This window comes from Homo sapiens, chromosome 6, assembly GCF_000001405.40.
Source record: "Homo sapiens chromosome 6, GRCh38.p14 Primary Assembly".
Lineage (NCBI taxonomy): Eukaryota > Metazoa > Chordata > Mammalia > Primates > Hominidae > Homo > Homo sapiens.
The window spans coordinates 140,873,105-140,899,443 of NC_000006.12; the positions used below are offsets into that span (position 1 = coordinate 140,873,105).

The window sequence follows — 26,339 nt, forward strand, 5'->3', positions numbered from 1 at the left end:
TGGGGCAGGAAGTGGGAAAAATGTCACATCATAAGTTGAGGAAGCCACCAAGAACTATTTTAATCTCACCAAAGAGACTCAATCAACCTGAAAGGGCTCACATTTATAAAATATAGTATAGTTTGGACTTTGATAAAATTGTAGCATATTTAATGTATTTTAAATTGGATTGAAGGTTACAATTTGTAAATTCAAAAATGATACTAAGGAATAAAAACAAACAAAAACTTCTTTAGACATATTTAGAAGACACTACAGAACAAATTTATTGTCCTGAGAACTGGTAAATGCAGGGAAATAACTAAACATTTCCCTGACTTCTCTGTATGAACTGCACCTCAGGATACCAAATAATTGAGACAAGAAGATTTCTTTATATAGAAGCAATTCAACTAATAAAAAGAGAAATGGGCCGGGCGCGGTGGCTCACGCCTGTAATCCTAGCACTTTGGGAGGCCAAGTCGGGCGGGTTGCCTGAGCTCAGGAGTTCGTGACCAGCCTGGGCAGCACGGTGAAACCCCGTCTCTACGAAAATACAAAAAAAGTATTAGCTGGGCGTGGCAGCCTGTGCCTGTAGTCCCAGCTACTTGGGAGGCTGAGGCAGGAGAATTGCTTCAACCCGGGAGGCGGAGGTAACAGTCAGCCGAGATCGCGCACTCCAGCCAGGGCGACAGAGCAAGACTCCGTTGCAAAAAAAAAAAAAAAAGAAGAGAGAAATGATAAAATTAAAATATCACCATTTTATAGACATGTACTGAAAAAAAAACACTAAAATATCACCATGTTATAAACATGTACTGAAAAAAATGGATATCAGCAAGTATTCTCAATGACCAGTGTAACCTCCAAAAAATAGAAACAATTAGGCTGGTGCAACAGTAATTGCAGGTTTTATCATTACTTTCAATGGCAAAACACGCAATTAACTGTTGCACCAATCTAACAGATATCATATGGGTCTTGCTGGGTTTATACACCACCACATATAAAAAACCCTTTCTAAGACCTCTACCCTGAATCGGATCATAACCTCTAGATCTATCTACCAGTGTTAAGGAAATAGAGGGACACAGAAGCATTTTTTTTTTTTTTTGCTTTTGTTTTCCCTCAGGTTCTGGGAGGACCCAATGGCAAAAAAAAACAGAAAGTGAGACATTACAAAACCACTATAGAACCTTTGGCACAATTTCTTCAAAGCAGTATTTTGAAAGAAAAAAAATAGGAAGTTACAGAGTAAAAGAAATTTAAAGACATATTTACTAAACACAATGTTTGGATCTGAATGTAAACAACTTATATTAAAAATTAATCGGGCATGGTGGTGGGTGCCTGTAATCCCAGCTACTCGGGAAGCTGAGGCAGAGAATTGCTTGAACCCAGGAAGCAGAGGTTGCAGTGAGCCAAGATCATGCCACTGAACTCCATCCCGGGCGACAGAGCGAGACTCTGTCTCCAAAAAAAAAAAAAAAAAAAAAAAATTTAATCAGGAAAAATTGAATATTGTCTGTTGGATAACTTTAAGGTGATTATTATTGTTGAGCTTTTAGGGATGAAAAATTTATTGTGACTACCTTTTTCTAAAGGTGTACCTATCTTTTAGAGAAACTTATTGAAATATTTTTGAGTTCAATTATGTTATGTTTGGCATTTGCCTCAAAATAATAGAGAATAATGGTGAAAGTGAATAGGGGTATAGATGTATAAAACAAAAGTGGTGATGATTATTACAGCTGGGTAATTACTTCACAGGGTTTCATTTTACCGTTGTCTTCTTTGCATATGTTTGAAAGTTTCCACACACAAAAGCTTCATCTCCTTCAATATGGGCCTTAAGTCACACTTGTCTCCCTACATTTTTCTGGCCTTGGCATTTCTTTCCACTTCATTACTTCTCTAAGCATAAGAATAGTCCAAGAAAAGCCATGTAGCTGATAGGTAATTGAGCTGATCATGTTTTTTGAACCAGAATCAAAACTTAGTCTTTATTGTCTTATCCGTGGCTCCAGTTAGAATAAAAGCTTCACAAGGACAAAAGCCACATATTTATTACTATAACATCAAGGCTTATGCTAGTATATGGAACTTTTAGCTGTTCAATCAGTGTTTTCATTAAACAGAGAAAATGTGCACATCTATGCACAATTATTTTCAAAAGGACATCTTGATTAGTTTATTATACCCTTTTTGCTATTACTATATTACAGGATCGTAATTTGTCCAGTTACTCAAACTCTTGCATATTTTAAAACATTAGGATCATGTCTCAATAGAACTCATACTGTATTGGGGTTTTAAAAATAATATCATATTTGTTTTAGGTGAAAGTATGTAACAATCTTGGCAACATATATTGGTCAGTACTCAGTCCTCACTAGACAAACTGAATAGCTCTCAAATAATGTTGTATTTCCTTCTGATCAAGAAACTAATAAAATCCTTAGATAATTGACTAGGATGATAATGGGCAAGAAACTCAACAGCTTATATATAAACATTTGGCTGAGAAACTTAGGGAGCCCTCACAATGAAAAAATAACATATTTTAACCTACAAAATATATAATTTGATTTTAATTGTAACTAACAAGACTGAATAGAATGTAGAGTATTATGTTCAAAGTAAACATATGTTAAACAACCAGAGGAGGCAAGTTGTATTCAATAACGAAAAAGGAATTAAGTCCATGTGTCTACACCACTGAGCAGATGGGACAGAGCCCTAAAGAGTAAAAATGAGTAAAGGTGCCTATTTGAAAGGAATAGCACCAGAATAGACATTATGATATCCTCTCTAAATGGCAATACTCAAGATCACCAAAAAACTATGAGACAGACAGACAGAGAGAGAGAGAAAGAGAATTTGCTCATTAGCCACATAAGAATTTAGGTACCCTCCACAGTTAATTTTTGTTGAAATGACTACTTCAGTGTTGTCCTTGCATGAATATGCTTGGTGTGTTTAATGAGCGTGTAAGGGCCTGCGGAAGGAATCACTTTTGGATATACTGACAATAATCACATTTCTGGAACTGCCTTGGTATCTTCATCAAAGCACTTCTATATCGTAAAAGTTCTGCTGAAGTGTCCAGTTTACCCTTCCAAATAACCAATCATACACAGCTTTAATGCTAGTCACCGGATTTTATGGTTTTAGGTCTAATGTTTAAGTCTTTAATCCATCTTGAATTAATTTTTATATAAGGTGTAAGGAAGGGATCCAGTTTGAGCTTTCTACATATGGCTAGCCAGTTTTCCCAGCACCATTTATTAAATAGGGAATCCTTTCTCCATTGCTTGTTTTTCTCAGGTTTGTCAAAGATCAGATAGTTGTAGATATGAAGTGTTATTTCTGAGGGCTCTGTTCTGTTCCATTGATCTATATCTCTGTTTTTGTACCAGTACCATGCTGTTTTGGTTACTGTAGCCTTGTAGTATAGTTTGAAGTCAGGTAGCGTGATGCCTCCACCTTTGTTCTTTTGGCTTAGGATTGACTTTAGTTTTCTCCAATTCTGTGAAGAAAGTCATTGGTAGCTTGATGGGGATGGCATTGAATCTATAAATTACCTTGGGCAGTATGGCCATTTTCACGATATTGATTCTTCCTGCAAATGAGCATGGAATGTTCTTCCATTTGTTTGTATCCTCTTTTATTTCATTGAGCAGTGGTTTGTAGTTCTCCTTGAAGAGGTCCTTCACGTCCCTTGTAAGTTGGATTCCTAGGTATTTTATTCTCTTTTAAGCAATTGTGAATGGGTGTTCACTCATGATTTGGCTCTTTGTTTGTCTGTCATTGGTGTATAAGAATGCTTGTGATTTTTGTACATTGATTTTGTGTCCTGAGACTTTGCTGAAGTTGCTTATCAGCTTAAGGAGATTTTGGGCTGAGACAATGGGGTTTTCTAGATATACAATCATGTCATCTGCAAACAGGGACAGTTTGACTTCCTCTTTTCCTAATTGAATACTCTTTATTTCTTTCTCCTGCCTAATTGCCCTGGCCAGAACTTCCAACACTATGTTGAATAGGAGTGGTGAGAGAGGGCATCCCTGTCTTGTGCCAGTTTTCAAAGGGAACGCTTCCAGTTTTTTCCCATTCAGTATGATATTGGCCGTGGGTTTGTCACAGATAGCTCTTATCATTTTGAGATATGTCCCATCAATACCTAATTTATTGAGAGTTTTTAGCATTAGACCTAAAACCATAAAAACCCTAGAAGAAAACCTAAGCATTACTATTCAGGACATAGGCATGGACAAGGACTTCATGCCTAAAACACCAAAAGCAATGGCAACAAAAGCCAAAATTGACAAATGGGATCTAATTAAACTCAAGAGCTTCTGCACAGCAAAAGAAACTACCATCAGAGTGAACAGGCAACCTACAAAATGGGAGAAAATTTTCGCAACCTGCTCATCTGACAAAGGGCTAATATCCAGAATCTACAATGAACTCAAACAAATTTGCAAGAAAAAAACAAACAACCCCATCAAAAAGTGGGCGAAGGACATGAACAGACACTTCTCAAAAGAAGACATTTATGCAGCCAAAAAACACATGAAAAAATGCTCACCATCACTGGCCATCAGAGAAATGCAAATCAAAACCACAATGAGATACCTTCTCACACCAGTTGGAATGGCAATCATTAAAAAGTCAGGAAACAACAGGTGCTTGAGAGGATGTGGAGAAATAGGAACACTTTTACACTGTTGGTGGGACTGTAAACTAGTTCAACCCTTGTGGAAGTCAGTGTGGCGATTCCTCAGGGATCTAGAACTAGAAATACCATTTGACCCAGCCATCCCATTACTGGGTATATACCCAAAGGACTATAAATCATGCTGCTATAAAGACACATGCACACGTATGTTTATTGTGGCACTATTCACAATAGCAAAGACTTGGAACCAACCCAAATGTCCAACAATGATAGACTGGATTAAGAAAATGTGGCACATATACACCATGGAATACTATGCAGCCATAAAAAATGATGAGTTCATGTCCTTTGTAGGGACATGGATGAAATTGGAAATCATCATTCTCAGTAAACTATCGCAAGGACAAAAAACCAAACACCGCATGTTCTCACTCACAGGTGGGAATTGAACAATGAGAACACATGGACACAGGAAGGGGAACATCATACTCTGGGGACTGTTGTGGGGTGGGGGGAGGGGGGAGGGATAGCATTAGGAGATATACCTAATGCTAAATGACGAGTTAATGGGTGCAGCACACCAGCATGGTACACGTATACATATGTAACTAACCTGCACATCGTGCACATGTACCCTAAAACTTAAAGTATAATAATAATAAAATTAAAAAAAATTGCTAGTCACTGGAGCCACAACCCCTGAGTTATAATCTTGTTCTCTTTGGCTTATGAGCTGTGTGTCTTATTTTGCCCATTTATCAATCAAATTATTAATAAAGGTTACTTCATAAAATTGTCAGTTATTGTCACTATTTTTTTTTTTTTTTGAGGCAGAGTCTCACACTGTCGCCCAGGCTGGATTGCAGTGGCCTGATCTTGGCTCACTGCAAGCTCCGCCTCCCAGGTTCACGCCATTCTCCTGCCTCAGCCTCCTGAGTAGCTGGGACTACAGGTGCCCGCCACCACTTCTGGCTAATTTTTTGTATTTTTAGTAGATACGGGGTTTCATCGTGTTAGCCAGGATGGTCTCGATCTCCTGACCTCGTGATCCGCCCGCCTTGGCCTCCCAAAGTGCTGGGATTACAGGCGTGAGCCACCAAGCCTGGCCTTATCACTGTTATTCTTTTTATATCTGTGGCACCCATCACTTCCACCCTTCATGATTCATTTAAGCCAAGTCAAATAAAAAACCTTTTAATATTTTGCTTTTATGTGAATTATTTCCTGATACAAATATTTATCAATTATCATTGCCATATTTTAAATGTCTTTTTATAAATATTTTTTAAGGTTTAGAAGGAACCAAAATATTAGTAAAAAATTGGGGTAAATTAGCAATTTAAAAGTGCTGTCATCTAAAGAAAAACAATTCTCTATTTTAAGGGAAATTTTATTTTAGAAGATATTAATTATTCTGTGCTTATTGTACGTGCCTATCTGAAACTTTGCAGTATGTATAATATTATTAGCCTCATTTTGCAAATAAAAAACAGTCTTTGAGAGGTAAAGTAACTGGCCTAAGGTCATACAGATTAGTAAGTGGCAGCTAAAACTAGAGGCAGGCTTGCTACTTTCAGTCGTCAGAACCCTTTCCCATCAAGTTGCTTACAACATACCACAGGGTAATTCCAAAAGTAAAAGTACAGAATTATAAAAATGTATAGCCATGCATATAGTAATAATGTTAATTTAGGAATTTGCTATGGATGGAACTGTTGAAGCCCTAACCCCTAATGTGACTGCATCTGAACACAAGGCCTTTTGAGGTAATTAAGGTCATTTTGGTCTTAAGGTTGGGTTCTGATCTCCTAAGACTGGCGTCACTACAAGAAGAGACACCGGAGAGCTCTCTTTCTCTCCATCTCTTTTCCTCTCTCTTGCAAGCACTCCCGCCAGCTGCCCACAATATGAGGACAGTGAGAAGACTGTCACCTGCAAGCCATGAAGCGAGTCCTCACCAGAAATGGAGCCTGTCAGACCTTGGTCTGAGACTTCTAGCCTCTGGAACTTTCTGAAAATAAACTTCTGTTGTTTAAACCATCCACTGTATGGTATTTTCCCACGGCAGGTTGAGGTAATACAGAGCTTTACTGTCATCCTCAGAAGCATCAACTGGATTTGTATACATTATGATGAAAAAGACCTGAAAATTTCACACAGATTAAATGCTTTCACTTATTTCTCAGTTTTATACTAGTGCTTTCTTTAGACTCTTCAAATTGCATGTCCTTCCTTATGTTCCCTGGGCATTGACTTATTAGTTCCTGGGTAAAATTTAACAAAGGCTATGCCACAGGTCTAGGATTAGTCATTTTCACAATCTTGGATTTCTCAATAACTATGACTACATTCCCCTTAAATATGAGTTCCTTAGAAAATCTGTTTTTATTATTTGGACATAGTGCCTGGTGATAATAGACAGCCTATGCTTTTTTGTCTTTCCCCTGAACTAGAATTCAAATGAAGGATATGCTAAACACAGCTGTTGCTGTGTATAATGACATTCAGTATGTGGATGCTGCATCCAGATTCCATTTTAAGGCAGCCATCTGTCCTTTAGCAAGCAAAATAACAGAAGATTTATACCTTAATAAAATCACACACATAAGTGCACCCCACACTCCTTCATGTGCCCTCCATGTAATTTCACATTTGTTAGTGAATTTTCTGTAGTATTTTTCTAGCTTTAAGACTATTTGAGGTGAAGTTCTGGACCTGCTAAGCCTGAGCACAAGGGTTTTAGCATAATATATTTGGACTCATGATTTTCAGTAAATCTTCATAGATTGACATGAATGTCATGAAATTTAAAAGATTAAGAAACATTCCTTCTCTATTTTTCCAGGCCTGTACAGACTAATATTTGTTTAGCACTGCAGAGCTTATAAAACCTTCTCCCTTCTTATTTAATTTATATATCCAGACCTACCTGCGGAGTTGCTTAAGGTCAGAAAATCCACTAGCAAAGAAGCCAGGGCTCAAAATAATAGGTTATTTCTCCAAATTCCTTGGTTTTCTCATCATCCTGCACAGTCACCTATTAAGCTATGTACTGAATTATTCTATATTATTTTACTTAATTATTGATAATAATACTTTATTGAACCTTTATTTTGTGCCATGCATTTTTACTTTATATTTTGAATAAGTAATTCTGCTTAATCCTTACAATAACCTGATGATGTAGACACCGTTTTTAAAAATATACTCTCTAATATAAGAAGTTATAGAAACAATTGTCTACATGCAGAATATATGCCCACATTCTTTCTCAAATACAAATGAACAGAATCACTTTATTTTTCTTTTTGTAGTAAAGAAAATTTAATAATTTTTTAAAGTTAGTGTAACAAATTTACTATGTTTTAAAAAGTAAAGTTTTAAAACTGTATAAACTCAGAACACTAATTTGTTTGCTAATTAATTTGCATTTCTAAATGATACTGTCCTCTTCTTTTAACTTCCTGTTAACTCAAGTTAATATTTGACTTTTCTATTTGACTTTCATAATTCTGAAGCATAAAAGTATAAAAATATTGGGTAGGAACTATTTTTCATCCTCCATATAATAAAACATTTCAACTAGTTGACCTTTCACTCAGTAAGTAATATTGAGTGTCTATCATGTGCTGGACACTGTTATGAGCACCAGAACTAAAGCAGAGAAAACACAGACCAAAAAACCTCCCCTCATACAGTGTCTTCTCTAGTGGAGTCATCGATTGTTTTCATGCATTACTATTCTCTTGTCATTGTATGAAAAGCTGGCATATCTTTCTGTTGGTGATCTGGAAGGTGATTGGGTCATTTATAAACATGTGTATTCTAGAGCCCTGCTACTCAAATTGCAACCTACAGACCACCAGCACTGACATCATTTTGTTAGAGATGCCAAACCTCAGGGCCCATAACAGATCTACTGAATACAAATCTACATTTAAACTAGATCCCAAGGTAATTTTTGTTCACACTGAAATTTAAGAAGTGCTACTGTATAGGTATTCGATAAATGTTTTCACCTGAGATATGTTTATCTCTAGGTGGTCCTCAAACCACCTTTGTGATATACAAATGCATCAAAATGTGTCTTCAATTTGACCATAACACATTCAGTCTCTCTTACAGTTGCAAAGAGCCAACAACTAATGATTTTTTTATTGAATGAATAAAAAATGATCAAACAAATTTCACTTATACTATATATTTAAAAAGTAACTTCAATTAAGTTAGCAATTTTGAATTATGCAATTTATTACAATGGGGAACAATATACTCTGTTCACATAAAATCCTTTTTTTATCTATACACTGTAGAACCTGATATATAATGAATGCTAAAGCTGTCAAAAGTTAAGTATTCCCCTAAACTTAAAAATATAGACATCTATGTTACGTTCCTGTCTACCTGTATTTCTTGACATTGTTAAAAAAAAAAGGATAAGCTTTTTTTAAACTAATATACCACTGCTTCTACAGAAATTGACGTATAACCCACAGAAATATATTCGCTGTTTGCCTTACCTTTTGCACTCTACATACCAAGCAAACAAAATTTGCACACACTTGCACTAGCAGCTTTGCATCTATCTATTTTTAGGACAGACAGCTACATCTTTCTCTCTGCACTGCAGGGAAACTGAACATTTGTGGGAAAGTGTAGTGCATTAATCCTGTTTAATATTCCAGGACTCACACAGACAATTAATTGTGTACTGAAAAGGCAGACTAATAAATTTTTCTTCTTCAAAACACAGTAAATAAGTTTAATTGTATTTTTCTCACAAACTGTTGTAAGATCAAATAGATAAATCAAATAAATTGTGAAAATGACCAATGTTTGAATGTCATATTCTTTCCTTATTATATTTTTTCTTCCATGTGTAATTTGCTTATTGTAATCAATTTTTGAAAAGTTGAAAAAAAAGTGCAACAAAATGTATAAATTATATGTGTTCTATGATTCTGCACCATGAAAATATATGTAACTTTTTATCTGTGGCATGATTATGAAACCTTTTGAGTGTAAATCTGTTTTTTTAACTTTTTATTTTGTAATAAATAAAGACCTAGAGAAGATAGCAAAGAGGGGAAAAGACAGTCCCATATATCCATCACCTGGTCCCATCTTAGCTTTCCCTAATACTAGCATCTTCATAACCATGGGACAATAATCACACTTAAGATACTGGCATTGATATACTGCTACTAATTAAGCTACAGACATTGTTCAGATTTTCTCAGTTTTTCTACTTATGTGTTTCCTATTTTTATGTTTAGGATCAAATCTAAGCTATCATATTATGTATAGTTGGCAAGTATTCATTGTCTTCTCTAATTTGTGACATTTTCTCCATCTTTGTTTTTCATGGCCTGGCTTTTTTTTAAAGAATACTTGCAGTTGTGTAATTAAATGTCCTTCAATTTATTTTTGGCTGCTGTTTTCTCATATTAGATGTAGGGTATGCATTTTGGGGAAGCATAGCATAGAAATGATATGCCCTTCTCCTTCCCTTCTTCTTCTTTGTGTCAGGGAATACATGATAATCACTGTCTTACTACTGGTAATGTTAACCTTGATATCTTGGTAAAAGCAGCATCCATTAGGTTCCTTCTCTCCACTGTAGAGTTGCTTTTTTTAAACCTGCTGTACTCTATTAGAAGTGAGAAAGTAAGTACACAGCCCATACCCAAAGACAGGGAAATCAAGCTCACCTCTTGAAGGAACCATAGAAGTCACCATATTAGCAAATATTTTAGAGAAGAAGCTTTAAGGACATGCAAATATCCTATTTCTTCTTAAAGTTTCTTAAGTTTCTTCCACTAATTCTAGCAGTCGTCTCTTGCATGCGGCATTGTTTACTGTGATGCTTTTGGGGTGATTTTTGTACTCCTTCACTCCTACATGTATTCGAATTCTTCTGGAAGTTAAAGTTGCTCCTTTCTCCTGACTTATTTATTGACTTATTTTCTTATATCGCTATAGATTCAAGAGAATTTTATTCTTTGAGTTATAATCCAAGACTGTCATTATGTACTTTATGGCTCAAATTGTTCCTGAGTTAATCTGTGGGAACTTTTTCTAGTTGACTTCTGTGTGGTGGTCCTCCTGCTCTTCTGCCTCCTTCTCCTCCTCCTCTTCCACTTCCTCCTCCTCCTCCTCCATTGGCTTCTGGGTGGTGATCCTCCTGCTCCTCCTCCTTTCTCCTCCCTCTTTTCCCTCCCCTTTCTTCCTCCTCCCGTTCTCCTTCTCCTTCCCCTTCTCTCTCCTCTTTCTCCTTTTTCTCTCCTCTTGTCAATTAGTATATTTTAAAGATTCTACCTTACCTCCTGGCTTGGCAACTTGTTTTGGGTTTGTCTTGTCTTTCCCTGCTACAACCCTAGCACCAATAGTTTCTCCAAGAAACCCTGGTTCAATTAATTAGAGAATTATATTTAGAAACTATAATATGGGTTCTAGGTGTTTTCTTTGCTGGTGGGGAGCCTGCTTCTAGGTTCTCCGTGTTTTGGACTAAGAAATGTATATATGTATACTAAGTCATATATATACACATATCTGTGCCTATTTCTGTATCTATGCATATATTATAATAAACGTGTTCATACTGATATCTCCAAGTTCAACCCAGCACTACATCTATCATTCCCCTTTATTTACAACCTCTTTCTCCTACAGTAAAAAAATGTGGCTCACATTATCTATATTATATTTAAACATTTGTTCAACAATAATATGTTAAGTATAGTGGTTCAGAATTGCTGATCTATAACCTTTAGGCTATTTTTTTTCACAAAGGCACAGTATTTGGATACAATCATACTTGCCTTTTGTCTTACGGTATCTAGTAAAAAAAAACCACCATTTTATGAGTTACTTGAGGTAGCTTTTTTATTCTCCTCTTGCTTCACTGTGATTATATCACACATTAGCAATATAGTCAGATATATTGGCCAAAGTCTGTATTTCGTATTAGGTTTCTCCGGTCAATTGGGTTTCTCAAAACTTTGTATACAGTAAAATTCACTCTTTTGGGTGGATAGTTCCGTATGTTTGACAAACGCATTGATATATGTGTCTACCACCACAATATCATACGGAATAACTTTATTATCTCCAAAAGGCTCTTGTGTTGCTTCTTTGTAGTCAACTCGTCTTCCTGCATTCAATTCTTAGCAATCACTGACTTGTTTTCTGTCTCTATAGTTTGCCTTTTCAGAATGTCATATAATTGAAATCATACAATTGGGGCTTGTTCCTTTCATGGTAAAATGCATTGAAAATGCATCCATGTTGTGTAAATCCATGTTAATTATTTTTTATAGCTGAGTAACATTTCACTGCATGGATGTGTCTACGTGTGTTAATCATTCATCTTTTGAAAGTCATTTGGGTTGTTCCCAGTTTCAGTTATGAATAAAACTCCTATAAATTATTGCATACAGACTTTTGGGTGAACATATTTACTAGGTTAATGTATTAGTCCATTTTCACACTGCTGATAAAAACATACCCAAGACTGGGTAATTTATAAAGAAAAAGAGGTTTAATGGACTCACAGTTGCACTTGGCTGGGGAGGCCTCACAATCATGACAGAAGGCAAAAGACATGTCTTACATGGCAGCAGACAAGAGAAAATGAGAGCAAAGTGAATGGGGAACCTGTTATAAAACCATCAGATCTCATGAGACTTATTTACTACCAGAACAGTATGGGGGAAACCACCCCCTCTATTCAATTATCTCCCACCAGGTCCCTCCCACAACATGTTGGAATTATGGGAGCTACAATTCAAGATGAGATTTGGGTGGGGACACAGCCAAACCACATCAGTTAAATAACTTGTGGTGAAATTACTAAGTCTATGGTTAAGTGTATAACTTTATAACAACTATGAAAACCACCAGTCTTTATTCCAACGTGGCGATACCATTTCTCCATCCCTTGTGGCAACATATGAGAGTTCCACTTCTCAGCACCTTGAAAAGCTCTTATTTTCAGGTTGGTTTTTTTTCTTTTGGTTTTAGACATTATAATATATGAACAGTAATATTTCAATATGGTTTTAATTTCAATTTCCTTGAAGATTAATGACGTGGAGAATCTTTATGTTTATTTGCCATCCATATATGTTGTTTTGTGAAGAGTCTGTTCAGATTCTTGCAAGTAATGTCATAGGAATTGTTTGTTTTATAATGGTAAGTTCAACAATTTTTTATATTCTTTTAGCCTATTCTAGAGAGAATTCCTTCATCAGGCATAAGGGCTGCAAATATTTCATCCCAGGTTTTGGCTTGTCTTTTCATTTTCATAACAGTATCTTTCACAGAGAAAAAGTTTTTAATTTTTATACAATCTGGCTTATCATTTTTAAGGATTCTTCTTTTACTTTCATATCTAAAATGTCTTTGCTGAACTCAAGGACATAAAGATTCCCCCTATGTTATCTTCTAAAATGTTTGTAGGTTTACATTTAGACCTATGTTTCATTTGAAATTAATATTGTACAAGATGTGACATAAGGTTTTTAAGGTTTTTGTTGTTCTTCACTGAATTACCTTTAGAACTTTATCAAAAACAAGTACATTTTTATCTGTGTAAGTCTATTTCTGGACTCTATGTTCTTTCTAATAATGAATGTGTCTATCCTTGTGCTGATATGTACCAAACTGTCTTGATTACTGTAGCTTTATAGGAAGTCTTAAGATCAGAGATGACAAACCTCCAATTTTATTTTTCTTTTTTAATACTGTTTTGGCTCTGCCTTAATATAAACATATTATAACTAACATAAATGTTAGTGTCATGTTGTTATATTCACAATTTTATTACTAGGATGTTAATTGGAATAGAATTAAATCCATAAGTAAAATTAAGGAGAATTGACATCACCACATTTTCAATCCTCTAACTAATGAACAATTTACATCTCTTAATTTGTTTGCCTGTTTAATTTTGTTAACTAGTGTTTCATAGTTAACACAGATACTGTATTTTTTGTTAAACTGATAACTTTTCTATTTTGGTGTTATACTAAAAAGGTATTCTTTATTTGAAAATTTGATTATTCATTGCTAATATATGAGAATATAATAGACATTTATATTGACATTGTAACATAGAAAAGTGTATTTTATTTTTTCTTGCCTTATTGCATTTTCTAGGACTTCCAGTAAAATGTTTATAGGAATGGTAAGAAAGGAAAACATTGCTTTGTTCTCAAACTTGGGGTGGGGGACATTCATTATGTTAACATTAAGTATTATGCTAGCTATAGGCTTTTTGAAAATTTTATTAGCTTAATATCATTTTCTTTTCTTGATTAATAGTTTCTATTATGAATGGATATCAAATTTTGTCAAATATTTTCTGCACCTATTAAGATTAGCATTCGGTTTACCTTCATTCATCTATTAACATGATGAATACAATTACTAATTGCCAAATATTGAAGCAAACTTGTATTCCTAGATGAACCCAGTTGTTCATTATTTATTTTTAATTTTTTTATTTTTATTTTTATTTTTATTTTTTGAGACGGAGTCTCACTCTATCCCCCAGGCTGGAGTGCAATGGCGGGATCTCTGCTCACTGCAACCTCCACCTCCCAGGCTCAAGCAATTCTTCCGCCTCAGCCTCCCAAGTAGCTGGGATTACAGGGACCCGCCATCATGCCCGGCTAATTTTTGTATTTTTCGTAGAGACAGGGTCTCACATGTTGGCCAGGCTGGTCTTGGAATCCTGACCTCAGGCGATCCACCCACCTCAGCTTCTCAAATTTCTAGGATTACAGGCGTGAGCCTTCACACCTGGCCCACATTTTTTGACTTGGTCTAATAAAATTTCATTGAAGGTTTTGTCTATAGTCATTACAGATATTGGTATGTAGTTTTCTCATTTTGAAATGTCTTTTTCTGGTTTTGGTAAGATGGTAATGGTGACCTGGTAAAAGGAGTGAGGGAGCATTTTCTCCTCGCCTGTTATATTAGAAGAGATTATGTAGAATTAGTATTGTTTCTTCATTACATGTTTGGTAGAACTCACCAATATAACCACCTACGTTTTCTCTTTTGGAAGGATTTTAATGAATAATTCAATGTATTTAAAGCACATATATAAAGCTATTCAGGCTATTTATTTATCCTTGAGTATGTTTTGATAGTTGTGCCTTTCAAGGAATTTTCTTTTCACCTAAGTTGTCAAATGTCTGGGCATAGTGTTGTTCTTAGTATTCCCTTTGTAATCAGCAGAGGTGATACTTGTTTTATTCACGACATTGTATCCTCTCTTTTTTCTTGGCTAAACTGGCAGGCTTATCAATTTTATTGATCTTTTCAAAAAAACAATGTTTGTTTTCATTGATTTTCTCTATTATTTTTCTGTGTTCAATTTCTTAGGTTTATGTGTACTACGTTCATTTTCTATTTGCTTTAGGGTTGAATGGTGCTTTTTTTCTTTAGTTTTCTAAAAAAGAGTATTATATGTATTGATTTTCAAGTGTTTCTTCTTTTCTAATATATGCATTTAATGATATAAATTTCCCTCTAAACACTGCTTTTACTGCATCTCACATATTTTGCTACATTTTCATTTAGTTCAAAATATTTTTAACAACCTTGACACTTCTTCTTAACATGAGTTAAGTGTGTTGTTCAAGTACAAAATATTTTGCAGTGTTCTACCCATCTTTCTGTTACTGATTTATAATTTTATTCAATTATGATTAGAGAACATAGTTTGCAGATTTTTTTGTATTTTAAAATTTTTAGTTTGTTTTAGAGGTTAGAATGTTATCTGTCCTGTGCATGTTCCCTGTGAGCTTCAAATTAATGTGATTTTTTTGGTGTTTGATGGGTGAAGTGTTTTGTAAATATCAATTATGAAATGTTGGTTAATAGTGTTTTGAGGTCATCATACCCTAATTTTCAGCCTACTTCTTTATTAAATACTGAGATAGACATATTGCATTTTCTACCTATAATTTTGAATTTCTCTATTTCATCTTTAAGTTCCATTCTTGTCTCATATTTTTAAAACTCTTTAAAAATTTAAGATTGTTATGTCTCGTTGGAGAATTGACCTTTTTATCATAAAGTAATCTTCCTTGTTACCTCTGATAATGTTTATTGTTTTGATGTTTGTTTGATATTAACATAGACACTCTAATTTTCTTCTTCTCCTTCTTCTTTTTTTTTTTTGAGACAGGGCCTGCAGTAGTGTGATCATGGATCACTGCAGCCCCTACTTCCCAGGCTCAAGCTATCCTCCCATCTCAGCTTCCTAAATAGCTGGAACTACAAACATGTGCCACCACATCTAGCTATTTTTTAAAAAAATTTTTGTAGAGATTGGGTCTCACTATGTTGCCCAGGTTGGTCTTGAACTCCTGGGCCCAAGTGATCCTCCTGTCTCAGCATCCTAAAGTGCTGAGATTACAGGCATAAGCCACTACACCCGGCTATAATTCTATTTTTTATTATTTTGTGCATTATGTACCTTTTCTAATCCATTTGCTTTTCATATTTTTACGCATTTATACTTAATATGGTTTTCCTGCTGAGAGCATATACTTGCGTCTCACATTTTTATCCCATTTGACAATGTTTTAATTTAAACTGGTGTGTTTAGAACATTTGTATTTAAAGTAAATTTGATATAGTTGGATTAAAATATACTAATCTGGTAGGTAATTTTTATTTGTTCCTTTTGTTCATTGTTAGTTTTTTCTTCTTTTCTCATTTTTACAGATTAACTGAGCATTAAGAAATTCTAGCTTGCTTTGCTCTGTTGGCTTACAGTACTTTAAATCAGATTTAGTAAATTTATTAGGGTTTCTAATATGCATTTTAAATTAATCTGATTCTATGTTTCTATAACATTGCACTATTTTATGTATGGGTTAAAGAACTTACACTAAATTTTTTCAATCACCCTCCCCTATCTTTGTGATGTCATTGTCAAATATTTAAATTTTACTTGTGCTATGAACATAGAGTACATCATTTCTGTTTTTTTCTCAGTTTTTGTTTGTCTAGGACAATATTTATTTCTCCCCTTTTTTGAAAAACACATTTTTGCTGGACACAGAAGTTAGGTCTGAGCGTGTGTGTGTGTGTGTGCGTGTGTGTTCATTTAGCACGTTTAAAAGGACACTTCATTGTCTTCTTGGTTGTGTGGAACGTTTGAGAAGTCTGCTGTTATTTTTAACACTGCTTTTATGTAGGAAATATGTCTTTTTCTGAATGCCTAAGAGATGTTCTATTTGTCTTTGACCTTTGGCAGTTTCAACATGGCACAACTAGGCGAGGTTTTTGTTTGTGTTTTTGCTGTTGCTTTATTTGTTTTTATTCTGCTTGGTGTCCTGAGCTTCTTGAATCTGTCGTTTGGTGTCTGGCACTGATTTTGCAAAATTCTCAAAGTGTAATTGTTTTCAGCCCTTTCTGTCTTTCTTCTCTTTCTGAGTGTCAACTATGTGTATGTTAGTATATATAATATTGTCCTACAACTTTTCCTCTTTGCTTTTTTTATTTTTCCTTCTCTCTTTTCACTCTTTGTGTTTTATTTTCAGCAATTTCTATTAGGGTTATCCTCAGGTTTACTGACTTTTCTCTTGATTGTGTTGAATCTACTAATGAGTGCTTCAAAACCATTCTTCATCCCTGTTACTGTGCTTTGACTTCTAGAATCTTCATTTGCTTCTTTCTTATAGTCAATTGATTGCTGAAAGTATCTTTCTGGTCTTTCATACTTTATTCCACTTTTATTAAAGCTTTTAATATGTTAATCACAGTTACATTACATTCTCCTTCTGATTGTTCCAACATTTTTGTCATATATTAATCCTGTAATTATTTATTTCACTCATTAGAGTGTTATTTGTTATTTATCTTTTCATATGCCTCTAAATTTTTAGTTGACAGTCAGATACCTTGTATGGGAATTTAGAGACTGAGCATTTGATGTTTAAAGCATACTTCTTCTGCTAAACCTTTATTATACTTGCTTGCATTAACGTTTCAGGAATTGGGCTGAGTTTAAAGTTTGTTGTTGTTATGTGTATTCTCAGTAGAACACAGGCTAAAGGTAATTTACTTAATCATATAATTTCATTTCAATTCCTGTTGTATATAATATGATTTATTTCAAATTATTAAGATTTATGCAAACTGCTTTCTTTTCTTTTGTGAAGGATGTTATCTTTGTAAGTGTACAAACTGTGTTTCTGAGTGAGTACCTTTGGGGGTATTCACAATGTAGATTTTGTACTTATCCTGAGATATCTGAAACAATCATACTAACTTACTGTATTCAGATAAAATAGGTCCACCAAAAATTTAACTGTTATACTTTATTTATGACATTACACAATTTTCTAGTAGGCAATTTGAATGCTTATGATTCATGTCCTAAAGGAAAATATTTAAATGTAAGAAAATATTTTAAAATAATTTAAGTCAATTAGTCTATAATGCACAAAGCAAAATCTTCTTTATATACCTAAATTAGCCAATATTTTATTAAACTGTCATAGAATAATAGCCTATACCATTATGTCACTTGTAAAACTCTAATTTTGCCTAATAAATAAAATGTCTTTTAGAAAATGCATTTGACTATATCCTTGAATATAAAAATTATCTTGCTAAGTTTATTATTCTTTCAAAAAATTACCTTTATTTAAAACTATTGTTAAATGTTTCCTAGGAGTGCTGTTAAAAAGTGATGGGAATTAAAAACAAATAATCCTCAGGGGTAGAATATTCAAAGAAGCAAGACATTAGCATACTTCACATTTTAATTGTTTTTTTGTTAAGTATTAGTGATTAGTGCCACTGAATCTGAATCTAGGTCAAAGCCTAAAAGGTTTCAGATGTAAAAGACAAAAGGGAAAAATAACTGAACTAATGTTTATTTAGATATCCCAAACATTTAATTTCTAAATATAATGAATGTCTATTAAAATGTATTTAAAATGGAGCAATGAAAAATGTAAAGAGAATTAAAACAATTTTACATTCTCCTTCATCACCAGTAACTTCCACCAATAACACTATGCCCTGTATTTTGGACTGCCTTTAAAAAAATGTTTAACATTATTATGTTATGTGTTTACATGGACAATCAACAGTTTAGGCTGATTGACAGGTATGGCAATGCAAAACAAAACACTACATGATTCACACAATGCTTGTTTGCTATGGGTTCTACTTATTTTTCAGGCAATAGCTCTAGGCTAAATTTTGGCCAAGTTGAAGTTTGTTTTCAATTCCTTCATTTTCCTAGATACAGTTAAATAATAAAATTGTCTTTATAATCGTAATTAATAATAATCACATATATTTTAAGCCCTGGAATTAAAAAACAATTAGCCCCAAATAATAAACTTTCATTGTTGAAACTGCATAACAGTTTAAGACCAGAAATATTAGAGTCCTTTTCATTTTACCACATAGGATGGATCTACCTATAATTAATATCATTGTAAATACAGTAATGCTGAAGTACTATTTTACACACGTGAAGACACTTCAAGATATCTTGGAATACAATTGTTTTTAGTTGAGACAAAAAAAATTCATGTTTCAATACCATGTAGACAAAAACAGTTTACATAAACACAAACATTTACAGCCACAATAATGACCAAATAAATCAAACTAAATATTTTGTCCAAAGCTTTTGGTTTGGAGGATATTTCTGATAAAAATTCCAACTAAAAATTGCTGTCAATAGACTCTTTTAAAAAGATTGTGAAAACTGGGTATATTTGAGTTTTATTCAATTTTATTAAAACACAATACTATTAGCTTTTTAAGGTAAGAATGCTAGTTGAAGTATAATTGCAAAAAGCCCAGAATGAATTTATCTGATAAGCAGTCTCCATATATAAACAGTTTGAGTAATAAAAAACGAAAACAATAGCTTAGAAGTATTGAAGTCTTAGTATAGTATACTAGAGAGAAGTCCACTGGTTACATTTTGGGGTTTTAAAGAAATAGTATCACAATGATAATTTTTCTTTAGAAAGCAGTATTTGTCAAGCACAAGTGAATAATAATTATAATTAACATTTGTCATGTCATATTTTTCAGAATTAAATATAAGATTGAGCTGACCTTTGAACAAAAACAAACACATAAACAAAACCATTTAGAGCCTCACAGATGAATAATCCACAGAAAAGAATGATGCTGATATTCCTGATCAGAATGCCACTATAAATCCAAAGGATGCATATCCTGAACTGAATACAGAGATCACGGCAACTGTCAACCAAATAAACTAAATGGCAGTGGTATGCAAGACGGGGAATGGGTTGTGTTGTGGGTGATGGGGATATAGGAATGAACAAGACAAACAGTAAACTTGTCTTTAATAAGCTTATATTCTAATGGCAGGAAACTAAATTATCAAAGAAACTATTCAATCATTTTAGGTACAGTGTACCATGACAGGCACAAATAGGATAATGTGTTAGAGAGAGACTCAACGAATGAGAAGCAGCTTGAACTAGGGAATGAACAAGATTCTTCTAGGAATTGATGAGTTTGATCTAAATGACAAGAAGAAAACACTCATGAAACTGTTGCAGGACTTTCCTTAGTTCGGCTAAAGACAGGTTTCTTCTCCATTCCACAGCCATGAAAATTTAGGCTCGCAGACGGTTTAAAGGGTGAGCAAAGCAGGGTTTTATTGGGCGAAAAGGGGAAAAAAGAGTGGGGGAAACAGGGATCCTCAGCAAGGCCAGAGTCCCCTGCTAGAGAATTTCCCACTTGCTGTTGGAATCCCTGGTTTCCAGGGAAGGAAGAGGAGGGGCCAGGCAGGCCATGCTGCAAAGGGCGTGAACTTCCCGAGGCTCCACCTCAGTGGGTAGGATGGCTAGAGTTTCTCCGAGGACCTGGAGTTTCTCTGAGGACCCCCTCCCACCTGGCTGTCTCACTTCCCCCTCTAAAGAAGTACATCTAACTGCCATTAGATTAAGGATAAGGATGAAGACTGATCTTAACTGCTTCCTGCTGACAGGGGGCACTGTTTTGGGGAAATGGGTCAGAGTTTTCCTAGAGGCCTATTTAAGGGCTCCCAGCAGGAGAGGTCATTGTCAGAGCCTCTGGTTGCATGACTGCTTGGAGTCTGATGGCCTGAAGGCAAGAACAGACAAACTGGGTTATTAGAAAACGTATCAAAACGAAACAAGGGGAGGGCTAACGACAGCTCTAAAATTCTGAGGTATTTTACCAGTTTACACAGGGAGAGAGAGGCCAAAAGCACAACTGGTAAAACAAAACAAAACAAACAAACAAACAAACAAAAACTTTACTCTTTTGCTGTTGCCTTGGGCTTTTGGGTTTCCGTCCCCTGACCTCAATCCTACGCCAACCAGTGTTAAGTTTTGGGCAATTAACTCTTTCCAGTTTGGCAAATGCATCTGAGGGGAGTGTCTCATAGTACGGAAACATGGAAACATAATTACCTATTAGTGAAAGGAGAACTGAGGAGGAGAAAGGAAAAAGAAGGCGTTTTATTCAAAGGAGTCCTAGCGGTTCAGGATGCATTTGAAAGGGGTACAGACTGAAGATGAATGGCTACCCATCTAGAAAGAGGGGAGCAGCATCCCTGGTTCCCCTCTCTTCCTAGCAGATACACAGGGTACGTGAGGGAGAGAGAGAAGAGTGTCCTCTTTCCATCTTCCATCCTTGCATCCCCGAGTTCCAGTGACCTTGGCAGGTCTCATCATGAGGGCCAAAGTGGCTTGCACTCATGAAGCAGGGAGGTCCTAGAGAATAGGAAGTATCTGCTCTCATCTATGTCTCTTTCCCACCTACTGTCAGTAGCCTTGGAGTTCCCTAGACTTCATTTATGCCATAGATATTAACGTGGCCTTTATCCATGAAACAGGAAGCTTGGGGTTGGCTTAATTGGCAGGAATCAGCCATGCTCACCTGCACGGTGCCTTGTAACCTCTGTTGTCATCTGCCTCTGGATCTTTTAGATCCAGTTTTCTTTCCTAGGGCTTTGCCCTGAAGCTCAGAATTGAGTTTGGGACAAAAATGTGTCTTGGGGCAGTTGCATGGACCCCTTATCATAAGCCGAATGCTAAGCTGAAACTGTGGAACTGAGTCCTCCTCCAACAAGGGAGACAAAGGGATACCTTGTGACATAACCCAGATAACTGGTAGCTATAGTTATGCTTGCTAGGATTTGGGGGCATGGTGCTTTGCTTTGGTTAGTTCCCTTGGTCTTACTTTCCCAAAAAGGAAACCTCTGGGTGATCGGCACCCTATTTATTCCATCACCTGGAAGGATTTGCAGGATAATTGCTCAGAACTAGAATATTGATCCTCATTTTCACATTTCCTATCCTCTTGTTCATTCTGAGCTGCAGCCAGAGATTGCTGGTTGGTTCACAGGAACAAGCAGGGTTAGTCTAAAAATGTAGGTAAAAACTGAAAAACAACTGGTGAGTTTAGAATTGAATGATAATGTATGATCAATTTTGATACATGATTTCTCTCTTTCTAGTCCTCATGTTTGTTAATAAAAGACATCATCATAGGACTGAGTGGTTTGCATTTAGTTTTATACTTGGCCTTTTTATCTGCATAAAGTGCAGCAAGAATAATCATTTCTACATAGGCCTTTTATATTGGCTTTCATGGAATTCTTTTCCACAAGGAATCTCAGATAAAACCTTTTAAAGCCAAGCATGGGTTTGTATCCTTAAATACTTGTGCGTTGAGTGATCCTCTCCTCTTAAGGTCACAAGATAAACTTGGAGCTTCTAGACCTGTTAGAAAGTGACATTCTTTACTGACCACAGGTCAGGAACTCTGTACAGGGATTGTGCAGATGAAGGTATGAGGCCAGTCTCCCATGGGGCTTTTATTGGCTCTGTAGGTAGAGTTTGACTCCTTAAAGGGAAGCATACCCTTCCAGTCAAAGCCTTGGTAACCATTTTTTCCAATTGTGTCCTGTTGCAAAAGAAAAATAAATTCTTATTGCACTGATGCAAACAGCTATATTGCCATAAGTTAAGAGTACTCACAGATAGGTTCTAAATTCTGGAGGAACCAGGCAGAGAGAAACAAACATGCTCCAAATTTTGATCACAGGAGTATATAACTTATGTAATTATTAAAGGCCATAAACCATTCAAAATAAGTTCACTTGACTCTGAAAAAACAAAACGAGGATCAGAAATATTCCAAGCAATGGTTCAAAAGGTTGCTTCAGCTTTCTAAGTTCAGTTCATTTAGTTAACTCTTGTTTTACTGGATATTCATGAACATTGCAGCTCTTCATGAATCCTATACATTTTCCTTTATGTCAATGTTAAAATTTCTAAAGTTATCGGAAACCTGATTGTCTCAAGTGCAATCAGAAATTATGTTTGAGAGCACCTCTCAGTGTCCTATAGCTCATTATAAACCATCTTTTGAAAAGGATTACGACATGACAACAATTGTCTGTGAATAGCAAAATATCCACAGTAGTTACAGTTAGAAACATGATTGACAAAGAAGTTTGGTTATCTCAGTGGTTTACAATAACTTAAACATAAAAACCTTAATTATAATTCATAGCACATACTCAGACATTAGAATTTTAGAAATCCCATACAATTTTGTCATGTATATTAGCATTATTCACCAAGATATAACCTAAAGAAGACTGAGCATCATTTTGGCAATTCCATGTACTTAAACATGTTAAATAATCCTATTTAACCTCCCTTTTCTGAACACTTCATGGGTCCTCTGAAGCATTCAAAAAGCCAGGTGCCAGAGAAGACAATTTTGAAACTGAAGTTTTATTTTGGGAAGGCTGTTAAATACTTAAGGTTTAAAACACTTGATATTATAAAATAGAATTCCAGATTATCGTAAGTTATTTTGCCAAAATCATGACTCAGAAATTTTAAAGAAACAAAGACCTTTTATAACCCTTTACAAATTTTGCCAAAGAGCAGATTAGAACCGTAGGAAAACCTTGTTATGCTTTTATTTCAATGCTCAATTTACAGAAAAACCATATAATACCCTTTTTAAAATTTAGTCAATATGTTCACACAGAGAGTCTCTTCTGCAAGATTATTTTCCACAATTCTTCTACCACTTCTTTGAACTTTCAGCTTTTTCCTAAATTAACTCAAAACAATCCTTTGACCCTAGGCAAAGATTTTTATTTCCATCCCTTCTTATAACCTTTTACTAAAAAACACATTTTACTGTTCTTACACACCTTGCATGTAAATCTATTTTCAGTAGTTTCAATCACATGTTATAATGGTAACCCTTAACAATTGTTAACTTTAAGGTAAATCCTGGTAAGTTGCTTTAATTGTGCTAACTGGAGTCAACGTTTGCCTTCTTAGTTAAGGGTGCATTTAGTTTCATACTTCTGCAGGCCTTACCAATTGTGAAGCAGGCAAGACAGAGTTCTCAAAACCCATGAAGCAGTTTGTAACCTCAAAACGCTTAGCAAACTTCCATCTGACCTGCATTTTCCCAGTAGTCTTTAGGGCTGTTTTTATTTCTGAAAGATTAAAGTCATGTGAACCGAAAGGTACCACAGCTTTTAACTTCCCTTAAAAAAATACTTGATCCAAACACTTCTTTCTTTAGGCCAAATTATTAGAGCTCTTTTTACAAACATCACGCATAGTACTTACACAGCCAGCCAGAAGAAAACCCAGTCGCTGGGTGGGGCCCTATAAGAGACAGGGCTAGGAAAACATGCAGATATCTAATCTGAGAAGGCTCATTCCCTCAAGAGGGATTACCAAACAAGAGGGATTGCCAAGCAGTTACTGGCCATGCCCCCAGGATGCAAAGCAAGATGGAGGCTGCAACCAAACCATACAGACACGCAAAGCACACCAGATTGGCCACAGCCCAAGACTAGCCCCACAAATCCTTTTTCACAACCAAAACTTTACAAAGTGTACAAACAGTGATAGTTGGATAGTTGTGGGGGGAGCCTGGTTTAGTAAAAACATCTTCTAAAAGGGGAAAAAATACCTTTAAAGGTTAACTGCTGTTGGGTAGAAAAGGGAAAAGGGGAAGAAAAAAAAAGTTTAAAAATGCCTGGGGAAGAACCTCTTATTCTTATGCAACTGGTTCCTCCACCAGAGGTAAAGCTTAATTACTGTCCGATAAAGCTAAACCCTTTGGCCAGGAAAGGGGAAGGCTGCGGTGGCTTGTGGTTGGGAACCAGCCAGCCAGCTGTGTGGGACCCTTGGGCCATGCGTCCCAGCCCCAGCAGGGCAAGGAACTGCTGCTTAGCAATGGGTCCCAAAAAAGGAAGGAAAAGGCCATGAAAAGGCCCGGGAGCCACGGGGGTGGGGGCATGGTTCCCCCACCCTCAGAAGTCCGAGGATGTAAAGACTTAGAAACAACAGTGACAGATTTTGAGCCCTCATTTTACTCACCACTTTTGGAGCTCCCATGCTGCACACCAAAATGTCACAGGACTTCAGGTAAACATGTGGTTCTTGTCCATCCCATGGCCACAAAAATTTACGCTCACAGATGCTTTAAAGAGTGAGCAAAGCAGGGTTTTACTGGGTGAAAAGGGAATAAAAGGGGGAAACAGGGATCCCAAGGAAGGCCACGATCACCTACTACAAGATTTCCTGCCTGCCATTGGAATCCCAGCTTCCACACAGGAAGAGGAGGGGCCAGGCTCCTCCTCCCTGCAAAGGGCTTGAACTTCCCCAGGCTCCACCCCAGTGGGCAGGCTGGCTGGAGTTTCTGTGAGGTCCCCCCTCCCACTTGGCTGTCTCAGAGTCAGGAGGAGGAGTGGTATGGGCAGAAAAAAATAGGAAGGGAAAATTATAAAAGAATTCCCTAATCTCTAAATGTTAATAAAGTTAGCAAAGTGAAGATTTCAGGTGTTAAACTTGACAGTTTAAGATTAATTTAGTTTTATGTTTAAATCTCTTAGAAATATCTAATAATTTGTCACAGAAAATTTTTCTTACACATTATTTGGTTACCTTCAATAGTTCTAGGTATTCCAGCTCTATCAGGAATTTAGGCTTAAAATGTTTATTCTGACTTCCACCATGAAATCAACATTATTTTCACCTTAGTCTTCCCTGGCATAGTTATTCCATACAGTGAGTCACTTTACATGATTCAATTTGACTGATCTCTATGGTTGTTTTTGTTGTTGTTTTTACTGACCCAAGCTTTACTTTATTTCCACTCCTTCACTCCTAAGTATATCTAGTACTTGAAACTTCATAGACGGTTTCCATTCACACACAAACACCCTCTATACAATGTAAAAACTAGTTAACTGTTTGCAGAGAGATCTTGGAGGCTTACTCATGAATAGTTGTAGATCCTTCTCTAGTATTGTCTTCAGTCATCATCCATTTCTAAGGATTTTTTTCTTCTGAGTTACCAAGAAATTTAAGTTTGGGGATATTGAAATAAATATATTAAACACGCAATTCTACAAATATTATAAACTCTAATTTTGAACACATAATTTCTGTGGAAAATGATTAGTAAGTAGGAACAGAGTTTCTTAACTGACGTGAAATATTTCAGTATAAATGAAAATAGAATAGAAAAGTACCTAGAATAGTCTTTTAAATTTCATTTTAACCCAATTTTCTTGGCTATTCATTTAGTTTATTCAAAGAATCAGAGTGTAAAGAAAAAATTTAACCTTATT

At 35.5% G+C, this 26,339-nt stretch overlaps 2 long non-coding RNA genes across 2 annotated transcripts in view; one reads left to right on the forward strand and one right to left on the reverse strand.

Annotated features, from left to right (window-relative positions):
- Positions 1–25,075, forward strand: part of LOC124901413 (uncharacterized) — a 31,714-nt gene extending 6,639 nt beyond the window's left edge. Inside the window, exon 3 of the long non-coding RNA XR_007059792.1 lies at positions 6,453–25,075. This is a non-coding gene — a long non-coding RNA (uncharacterized LOC124901413). The remainder of the gene's footprint in view (positions 1–6,452) is intronic.
- LOC102723724 (uncharacterized) overlaps positions 1–25,320 on the reverse strand; it is a 104,643-nt gene extending 79,323 nt beyond the window's left edge. Inside the window, exon 1 of the long non-coding RNA XR_428030.5 lies at positions 25,084–25,320. This is a non-coding gene — a long non-coding RNA (uncharacterized LOC102723724). The remainder of the gene's footprint in view (positions 1–25,083) is intronic.
- Between the last annotated feature and the right edge of the window lie 1,019 nt (positions 25,321–26,339).